The 11,162-nt window shown below is 41.2% G+C and overlaps 1 long non-coding RNA gene across 1 annotated transcript in view; it reads right to left on the reverse strand.

Annotated features, from left to right (window-relative positions):
* LINC01284 (long intergenic non-protein coding RNA 1284) overlaps window positions 1-6,851 on the reverse strand; it is a 75,586-nt gene extending 68,735 nt beyond the window's left edge. The window contains exon 1 of the long non-coding RNA NR_110382.2: window positions 6,758-6,851. This is a non-coding gene — a long non-coding RNA (long intergenic non-protein coding RNA 1284). The remainder of the gene's footprint in view (window positions 1-6,757) is intronic.
* Window positions 6,852-11,162: the final 4,311 nt, after the last annotated feature.

Raw genomic sequence — 11,162 nt, forward strand, 5'->3', positions numbered from 1 at the left:
TGAGGAAGTTTTTTAGCTGGCGTCTTTTCTAGTAAATGAAGTCTCCTAGCTAGAGTTCATGATATCAGAGTTCATCTTTTGATGGACGACCATAGAAGGATTCCACAACCAGTTTATGGCGAGTTGTTAGAGCCTGAATGAGTCCTTGGCAGTAGGTCAGGAGGTCTCCTTGTAACTGAGTAGGGTAAAACATTCCCTCAGTTAAATGCATGGGATGGCCTGCGACAATCTCAAAATGGGAGAGGTGGTGTTTTCCAGAGGGGGTAGACAGCAGGATCAGTAGAGCTAGACGGAAAGCCCTAGGCCACGACAGATTAAGAGTGTTTGTAATCTCAGGCAATGGGCTCTTTATTATTCCATTGATTCATTCTACAAGCCCAGAAGACTGTGGGCAGTAGGTGGATGGAAGTGTTACAGAATAGGCCAGACATCACAAACTCATTCTAATGCTTGGCTAGTAAACTATGTTCCTCAATCACTGTGGAGTTCAGTAGGAACTTCCCAAGTGGGGATAATTCTTTCAAAAAGAATTTTGGCTAATACGGCCATGATTTGTTTGTAAGCAAAGGCCTCTACCCAATGGGAATACATACCTATCATCTCAAGTACATACTTGCACCCAAGTGAGGAGGGGTACTTAGATAAAATCAAGTTGCCAGCTTGCAAAAGGGCCATTTGGCAAGGGGAATTCTTTGGGGGCAGCCTTTGGGAGCTTCCCAGCATTATACAAAGAACAGATTTTGCAACATTTATAGATTTGAGAAGCAACCACTGGGAGAAGACCCCAATTGTACTGTTTTCCCCACTGGATTATTTTGTAAAGGCTCCAATGGGTGAGGTTATGTTTAAAGGTATGAGTGGCCCTTTGTAAATTTTCTGGAAGGACAGGATGAATGTTAAGCCTCTTCCATAACTGAGATTATGATTTGTAGGTATAACCCTGTTTTGCCCATTTTTTCTTTTTTTCTTTTTTTTTTTTTTGCCATCTGTGGACATCTTTTGAGACCTTGAGAGTCTGGAGAAAAGTTTTTTGGAAGGTACAAAAAACTTCTGAGAAGAAGCCTCAGGCAGAGTATATCAAGGTTGTGTCATCAAGGAGAAATTAGGGATCCAAGCTCTATGGCAGACCACAAGTCCCCAGAAACCCCTAAGTTACCTTTTAGTATTGGGCAAGGGAAAAGAATATATGCCTTGAAAGCAGGTGAAGTCAGTGTTTACTCTTGATGCCCAAGGAGCTTGATGGAGTCCCAGCAAAAATGTCATTTGTCTTAGAGCCTTGTGTGCCTTAAGGGCTAGCTGGTGAAGTAAGAGGCGAGTGTCAGTGTGGCAAGCCTTTTGAGAGAGGGAGCATAAAAGCAAGTCATCAATGTATTGTAATGGAGTCAAATTATCTGGGAAGGTTATTTCTTTTAGGTCAGCCTGCAGAATCTGGGAAAGGTGGGAAGGGCTTTTGGTGTATCCTTGGGAAAGCACCATCCATGTAAATTGTTAGCCTTTCCAAGCAAAGGCAAAAAGAAACTGACTTTTGGGGCCGACAGGAGGACTGAAGAAGGTGCCGCAGAGATCAATAGTGGAGAAACAGTGAGTGTCAGGAAGAATCGTGGGTAAGAGTGGTTGTGGATTAAGTACAACAGGGTATCAGGGACAGACAATGTTGTGGATAGCTCTAAGATCCTGGATGCATCTCCGTCCCTTCATATTAGGCTTACAGACTGGCAGAACGGATGTGTTACAAGGAGTGGTGTAGAGGACTATGAGTCCGTGGAAAATGAAACCGCTGACTATAGATTCTATATCAGCCTAAGTTTCAGAATTGAGGGGACATTGTTTTAAATTTGGAAGAGGACTGTTAGTGTCTATCTGTATAGAAATAAGTGATGCTGAATGGAACAGGCCAACAACTGCATCCACTTTCACCTAAAGAGTTTCAGGCAGTTGTTTTAGAATTGGGTGTTCAGTGACAACTGCATAGCTAGAAACTAGCAGGGAGGAGATATGAGTGACACTGGAGGCTGAAACCTTGGCTGGGGAGACTTCTAAGACGATATCTCCCCTCTGGGTGAAAGAAATGTGGGCTTGGTGTCTTTGAGAACGTCTCTCACTATCAGGTGGATTGGGGCAGAGAGGACAACAGCAAACTGTGTTGGCCGGCAAGGGGCCCTAATTGATAAGAAACTGACTCAGACTTAAAGGCGGTCATAGTTTGGTTAGTGACCCTCACTATTTCAATTGTTTGATTACTCTGAGGGGGGTTTGAAAAGGAGTTGAGGGTAAGCACCAAGAGCAGAGCTCCAGTGTTGACTAGAGCTTGGATCAATTTGCTGTTGATTTTAAGACCACCTTCTCCTACTTAGTTAGGAAAGGAAAAAATCCCCCTCATTTCCCCCAGAGAGTCCTCAGTTTTATCCAACAAAAACTTCTTACAATTTCTCACGAGTAGGAGGGGTTCCTTGCCTTACTTGGGTATTTCTGAAGCCATTGTTTGTATTTTTCCCAATCTCATTTTATATATTCAGGACCCTTACAGGAAAAGCAAATCATGCCCTTTAAAGTAGACAAGGCTACTGCTTTCTGTCTATTTTGTGGGGCTTGCTGATTTGAGGCTTTGAGTTGTTGAATATGTAAGGCCACAAGTTTAGTAGTCTTTTCCTCATTTCTGCTTTAGCCTCTTTTTCTTTTTGCATGGTTTTTGAGAGGCATTCAGCCAGGGAAGCTATTTCCTGGGGTCTCTTGAAGCTTAGTAGGGATTATATTGTTTAGCTAAAGTACTAAGGGCTTCATTGAGACCTGAAAGGATAAGTGAATTTTAAAAATTTACTGTATCATCAGTTAGATCTTTGACACCACAGTTCTGTTGGCAAGTTTTTAAAAATCAGTCAAAATAGTCACAAACAGGTTTTCTTTCTGAACGCATCACAGAATAGCCTTCTGGTTACTTTTTTTCTGGAAGGAGCATTGGAATGGATTTAATCAATTTAGCGGGAATTTTTCCCACTGTCTTGAAGGCCCTTTCACCAGTAAGATGAAAATCTTCTTGGGGCCTATCTCAGTTACATAATCCAATCTTCAGACCCACTTCACTCACTGCCTGGACTGAGACAAATGTCTCTTTCTATTCAGATCCAGTTTTCTTTTTCTGAAACTGTTCTTCAGATCATCCCTTCATTTCACAACCTTGGCAGATCTAAAGAGCAGAGGTGACTCCAAGCTGGAGCTTCCCACCATCTTCTCCTGAGCAGATGCAGACCCATCATTCACCACAGGAACACCCCGGGCTGATGCTGTGCTTCTCCTCAGTGTAGCCCACCAGGAGCAGCACAGACCCACCCACCCACCTCTGGTGATTTCAACCTGATAGTGGTTAAATACTCCTTTACAAACACAAATTTTGTCATGTCACTCTCCTGACTTAACTTTGCCAATGGTTTCCCACTGGCCTTAGAACAAGGACCACAGTGCTGACCATAGCCCCCTGACACCGAGTGCTCCTGCCTGCTGCCCTCTCCCTTCCAGTCCACCCCAGTTGCCTGCCATCTAGTCTGCTCTCTTGGGGACACAGCAGACTCTAGGGTATCTGGGGGATTGCATACATATTCTTTCAACCCATTCACCCAAAGCCCACTCTTACCACATTTTCTAAGACTTTGTGCAGCTAAATCCTTAAAGGATCATGAAATTTCATATTATGAAAATTTCATAATGTCATTATTCAAAAGACAAAAAAAAAGTTACTTGGCAAATCATCTGTGAGAATAACCCTCAATTTATAAAGCAAGAAAATAGTAGCTGAATACCGAGTCCATATTTGGGATAATTAGTAGAGAAATGCTGAGTGAAAGCCAAATTGAAAGAAAATTGATCATTAAAATTTCATAAGAATTGAATGGAGAGTATATTACCTTGTTGTATTCTTACCCGTGTGTGTGTATATATGTGAGTGTGTGTGTGTATGTTTACGTGTATATATATATAGACCCGTTGCAAGATATTTTAGGTTTAGACACTGATGTGTACATGATCAGTCAATACAGTTAACTGATAAAATGTCACAGTCCACATCCTGACAATCTATATAAATATTTAAAACAACTTTGTTTATACAATTAACAATTAGTACAGGAAACAGATAATTGTTCAGATGACTTATTAATATTTATGGATATTGAAATGCAGTAAAAAGGTGTGATTATTATATCAAAGCTTTGTTATGGGACTTAGGGCAAGTACACATCCAACACTAAAATTGCAATGCATCTCAATGAACCAAATGGCTGCCTCTGTCGCCCCCTGATGGATGGCAAATTCTTGTCCCCATGGACCTTCACTGAAAAACATTAGTTCAGCAGGAAAGTTCCCATAATTCAGAATATCATAAGGAAGGAAAAAAATTTTGCCCCAAAATATATTTCTTTTTTTTTTGAGACAGAGTCTTGCTCTGTCACCCAGGCTGGAGTGCAGTGGCGCGATCTCAGCTCACTGCAACCTCCTCCTCCCAGGTTCAAGCAATTCTCCTGCCTCAGCCTCCTGAGTAGCTGGGACTACAGGCACATGCCACCACACTTGGCTAATTTTTTGTATTTTTAGTAGAGATGGGGTTTCACTGTGTTAGCCAGTATGGTCTTGATCTCCTGACCTCATGATTCACCTGCCTCGGCCTCCCAAAGTGCTGGGATTACAGGTATGAGCCACCGCGCCCAGCCCCCAAAATATATTTCTTTGATATAATTGGAGATTATATAAAGACAGCCAGCAAGAAGAAGTAGCCCTGCAAAGCTGTCTTTTGTGGGGGAAACTTGCATGTGTAGAAAATTTGCATGAACTCAGCCAAGCCTTCCCTTGTCTGGACCTAGGAGAAAGGAACTAAGATTCTGATGCCTTAATGACTGGAAAGCAACATTTACCATCTATTTACTCTGAGGGCTGCTACCTACCTGTGAGAGTTCTTCTACCTAACAAGACCACCCTTGCTAGCCAGCCTCCTCTTCCCTCCCTCCCATAACCTGTCTTGCCACTATAACCTGTTTTACCACTATCACCTGCTTGTGGCCATTCCCTAAGCCAACGTTTTTGCTGTAATCTCAGGATGGTATATAAGCTTCCTCAGGTCATTGGGTGGTTGGGTCATCATGCTGTGATGTTCCCTGTGTACACATCAGTAAAGTTTCTATGCCTTTGCTGCAATTAATCTGTCATTTGTGAGTTGATTTTTTAGCGAACCTTCCGAGGGCGAAGGGGACACTTTCCCTTGGTTCCTACAGTTTGAGGCTGTGAGCAGGCTCTGCTCTCCTGACCCACAGCCAAGTGAATCCAGGTCCTGATGAGCCATCAAAAGGGTAAGGATTTCTTACCAGTCAGGCTCCAGGTCTCTGTCTTTCTGTGGAATCTGGTCAAGTGGATGGTAAATATTGTTATTTGTTTTTCTTCTCCAAAGTCTTGATTAATAGGAGGAAAGGATTTGTTTAACTCATCTTGTTCTAGTGACTCTGGTATACTTTTTGGTACTTTGTGGTTTGAATATTCATAGTGTTTGGTCCCTTTTCTACCAGAAATAGTCTTTTCCTTTGTCTTTGGGTGTCCTTCTGTCATGAAGAGGAGTATCATTTTAGGTTCTCTCTCATCTTGTTTGATGTCCTTGAAAGCTTGACTTGTGACCAAGTGGAAGGACTCTCTTGGTCTGTGCCATCCAGGCAGCATAATTTTCGAGTCCCATTGGGTGGCCAGTCTCAAAAAGGCTGCAAAACCAAGACATTTTGCTTCGAATATGTCAAGCTGTCAGCTCTCAGGAGAGTTTGTCTTAAAAAGTTCCATTCCTACACGACTTTTGTCATCCTAACCCTTGTTGCCTAGTTAGTGCTGGGAAAGCCCAATCCCAGGCAGGCCTATGCAGTGTCACAGATTAAAAGGTCTGTGAGTGGCACCCTCCCCCACAAATTTTGGGTTGCCAAAGGCAAACACCATCCTCGACAATCTGTGGTAACAAGAGTCCTCTGCTATCTCCTTGATCTCTTTGGCTATTAAGTACACACATGTGTACATGTGAATATATGTTGTCTACATATATGTATGTGGTCATACATATATTTGCATATTACCTACACGTGGTACCACATTAACTCGAATGAGTACTCATAAAATTAAACCTATTCCAGGGAGAATTTTTTGGGGAGGGGGTCTTTGGGTTTGCTTCTCTCCAGGGAACATCTTTTTTTAAACCTGGAATATTACATGCTGGGCTTTCCATGAAGAAGCTATTGGATTGAGTCACTATTGGAATGAGTACAGCATTGGAAATTCAATGACCAGAAGGTGAATCTTTTAAATTAGATTCCTGAAATTTTTTCTTGACCCAGCAATCCCATTACTGGGTATATACCCAAAGGATTATAAATCATTCTACCTTAAAGACCCATGCACATGTATGTTTATTGCAACACTATTTACAATAGCAAAGGCTTGGAACCAACCCAAATGCCCGTCAATGATAGACTGGATAAAGAAAATGTGGCACATATACACCATGGAATACTATGCAGCCATAAAAAAGGATGAGTTCATGCCCTTTGCAGGGACATGGATGAAGCTGGAAACCATCATTCTCAGCAAACTAACACAGGAACAGAAAACCAAACACTGCATGTTCTCACTCATAAGTGGGAGTTGAACAATAAGAACACATGGACACAGGGAGGGGAACATCACAAAACAGGGCCAGTCAGGGGGTGGGGGGCAAGGGGAGGGATAGCATTACGAGAAATACCTTTGAAGATGACGGGTTGATGGGTTCAGCAAACCACCATGGCACATGTATACCTATGTAACGGACCTGCACGTTCTGCACACGTATCCTAGAACTTAAAGTATAATAAAATAAATAAATAAATAAATAAATAAAAAGTCTTTTGAGATCTCTCATTCTAAACAATTGATGGGAAGATCAAATTCAAAGAAAGACATGCAATAGTGTCATGGCCAGCCCTAGAAATTATCTTGACACAATTAAGAGCAAAAACCTAACCTAAACAAATTTAAAATCTTTGTGAGCTCAAACTGCCTGCTTTGGATTCCCTGCAGGATTAATAATGAACGCTGCTCAACCTTGTTGCACAGTAGTTCCAATTCCACACTTTCACAGCCTTCGCTTGGGTTTGATTTCTCCTCAGGAAACCAGTCCCTGTTCGTTTTATATTTGTGTGACTTTTAATTTTGCGGGTACCCACTTACATGTTTGGAGATGCCTTGTGAATCCTTGGTTAAGTCACAGCTTTGGTTAAGGCTTATTGCTTTCACTTGGGAAGGTATCTCTAGAAAAAAAAGTAAAAACAGAAATGTCAGCTGTTTATCCCAGCTAAAATCTTTTAACAAGAGATTTTAAAAGTTTTTTTTAAGAGCTCTATAGTCAAAAGCTGACTTAATTCAAACTGATATTTAGGTTATGTATGTACACATATATATATATATATATTGTTTAAGGCTTCTATTCGCTCTGTAAAACCTTCTCAGTCAACTGAATTCCTGTCTTTTTAAACCTCTGCTAACCATATTTGCTCCCTCTGTCTGCTTCTCCTTCTATTCCGTGTGTCCCTCCTTCCCCTTGCAACTTTCAATGCCACAGGAGGGGACCTAAAAACAATTCTAACTGCCTGGGATCCTTTAATTAAAACAGAAAAGGCAACATGAGTTTCTCTTTAGGGGAGGAAGCTTTGATTTTCCTCATGGAACCCCAAGAGTTTTAAGTGGACAGATTCAAGTCTGAAGCTCTACGACTCTCTTTTGCACTAAACTCCTTGATCTCTTTGGCTATTAGGTACATACATGTGTACATGTGAATGTTATATGTTGTGTCTACATATATGTATATGGTCATATGTATATTTGCATATTATTTACACGTGGTACCACATTAACCTGAATGAGTACTCAGAAATTAATTAAATAAGACCAAATATTTTTTCAAATTTATGTGACTTGAATAAATCTTTTGGTAAATAAAACTATGTTGTTATTGTTGGTTTAATAAAAATAACTGTCTTCTGAGCTAACAAAAAAATATACATGTGCTTAATGGCAAGGTTCTTGCTTTTACGATACTTGCCTAATGTACAGTAATATAAAAAACAGTTAATAAAAAATTTAACTTGTGATGATGACTAGGTTTTTCTAATGTCTCCTAAAATTGCCTAAACATAATTGTTAAAATTAAATGAATAAAACAGATGTAAATGAGATAAAGGTTTATAAATGAACTTTCCACAAGAATGTTTTATGATATGTTTACTTAGGTTTCTCAATGCTTTTTGGTAATCACATACTTAGAGTTTTCCCAAACTAAATTAAATGATGGGTTAGGGTTCAGATGCCATGGAGACTGTGGAACAAACTGTCTCACCTTCATCAGAGACTAGTCCAGCAAGAAAGTTCTCATAGTTCATAATATCATATTGAAGGAAATAAAAATGTTTTACCACAAACATTGGCCAGATCTAGGCAAGATTAACTGAGAGTCTGACTCTTCCCTTCACCCCTGATTAACTGAGAGTCTGACTCTTCCCTTCACCCCTGCAATATCAGGCCAGATATTTTCTTTTCTCATCCGAGAAAACCTCCAAAGTAGCATTGTTAAAATGGCTGTTCCTCAGGTAGGAGTGGAACTACAGAAAACAGGAATATCGGTACAACATGAAACTTTGTGAATATCATAAAAGATAAAATATGGAACACTTGGTAAACAAAACTTTATGTATTAAATATGCTAATTAATATCTAAATATATGTAAATATCAATTGAAATGCTGACCACACATTGGAACTTGAAATCAAGAGGGCCTAATAATATACTATGAAAATGATGAGAACTAATATGGTTTGGCTATTTGCCCCCACCAAATCTCATGTTGAAATGTGATCCCCAAAGTTGGAGGTGGCCCCTGGCAGGAGGGTTTGGGTCATGGGGGAGGATCCCTCCTGAATGGGTTGGTGCCCTCTGCGTGGTAATGAGTTCACAAGAGATCTAGTTGTTAAAAAGAGTCTGAGATCATCCCCTACTCTCTTGCTGTCTTTCTCCTCATGTGACACGCTGGCTCCCCTTGCCTTCCACAATGAGTAAAAGCTTCCGTAGGCCTCACCAGACAGAGATGCTGGCGCCATGCTTTTTGTGTAATCTGCAAAACCATGAGCTAAATGAACCTTTTTCCTTGATAAATTACCCAGCCCCAGGTATTCTTTTACAGCAACACAAAATGGACAAACACAAAAACTCAGCAATATTTTAGTTTGGAACCCAGCTAACTCCTGCAGTCACCCTATGATCCTGGGTCACAGACTTGGGTCATGGTCTCTCTTAGCATTACATTCTTTGTCTTTAACACCAGCATAGAAGAAAACTTTCCCAGGTTGTCCAGGATTCAGTGAGATGAATTATGCAAACCTGTCAGTTATATGGGCATACACTCCAAAGAACTAAAAGCAGGGATGGGTATATATGGGTATAGACTCAAAAGAACTAAAAGCACCCATATGCACAGCAGCAGTATTCACAATAGCCAAAAATTGGAGGCAACATGAGTGTCCACCAATGGACAAGTAGATAAACAAAATGTGGTATATAATATTATTCTGCCTTAAAAACAAAAGGAATTCTGATACATACTGCAACATGGATGAAACGTGAGTCATTATGCAAAGAGAAATAACCTAGGCACAGAAGGACGAATGCTGTACTCTTCCACTTATCTGAGCTACCTAGAGTAATCAATTCACTGGAACCTCAAGTAGAGAGGTAGTTTCCAGGGACTGGAGGAGAGAGGAATAGGAAGTAGTGTTTAGTGAATACAGAGTTCCTGTTGGGGATGATGAAAAAAGTTCTGGAGATGGATGGTGGTGATGGTTACACAACCACTGTAAATGTGGTTAATGCCATAGAACTGTATAATTAAGATGGTTTAAATGGTAAATATTAAGTGTATTCAATCAGAAGGAACACAGGAATGAAGTACTGATGTATGTTATAACATGGATGAACCTTGAAAACATCTAAAGTAAAAGGAACAAGACACTAAAGGCACATACTGTATAACCCCATTTATATGGAATGTCCAGAAGGGCAAATCCATAGAGTTCAGGAAGTAGATTAGTAGCTTCCAGGGACTGAAGAGGGGGAAATGGGAAGGGACATCCTAATGGGTACTGAGTTCCCTTTGGAGGTGATAAAAAAGCTCTGGAACTAGATAGGTGGCTGTACAACACTGTCAAGGTGTTAAATTTCACCAAATTGTATACTTAAAAATAGAAGTCATCATTCTCAGCAAACTAACACAGGAACAGAAAATCAAACAGTACATGTTTTCACTCATAAGTGGAAGCTGAACAATGAGAACACGTGGACACAGGGAGGGAAACAACACACACCGGAGCCTGCCAGGGGTGGGGGGCAAGGGGAGGGAGAGCATTAGGACAAATACCTAATGTATGTGGGGCTTAAAACCTAGAAGATGGGTTGATAGGTGCAGCAAACCACCATGGCACATGTATACCTATGTAACAAACCTGCACGTTCTGCACATATATCCCAGAACTTAAAGTAGAAAAAAATTGGTAAAAGTGGTAAAATTCATATCAAGTGAATTTGCCTCCAAAATACTCATCTGTTATATTTATTTCACTGTGCATAGGATTTGTTCCTCAAAGGACACGGTGCCAAGTTGTAGCCTTCCTGAGCCCTGGCTACCACACTAACTCTTGGGGCCCAAGCCCAAGGTCTTGAGAGATGCCTTTCATAGCTGGACAACAAAGCACAAAACAGTGCCTTGAGACTGACTTTTTGGCTGACAGGCAGGCATTCCTACCCCCTCTCCTCTGTCACCTGCTCTGACAGTTGCGTACACATTCCCAGGACCTATTTCCCCATCTGCAAGAGAAAATGATTCCCAAGGCCCTTCTGGTATAAACCCACCAGTGAGATCTCCTGGGGACACCCGCTCCTCGAGTATTCCCATAGGGCTTTTCTCTCTCCTACTCTGCTCCCCTCCACCTACACCCCAGCGCTGCACAGCCCCCGAGTCCTTGGCACTCAGTCAGGCAGAAGGCAACAGGCTCATGCCAGAAACGGCCAGTCAAGGCTGGTCACTGCTGGTCATGGCCAGGTCAGACTGGTCAAGCCTGGTCAA

The sequence above is a fragment of the Homo sapiens genome, chromosome X (assembly GCF_000001405.40).
Source record: "Homo sapiens chromosome X, GRCh38.p14 Primary Assembly".
Classification (NCBI taxonomy): Eukaryota; Metazoa; Chordata; class Mammalia; order Primates; family Hominidae; genus Homo; species Homo sapiens.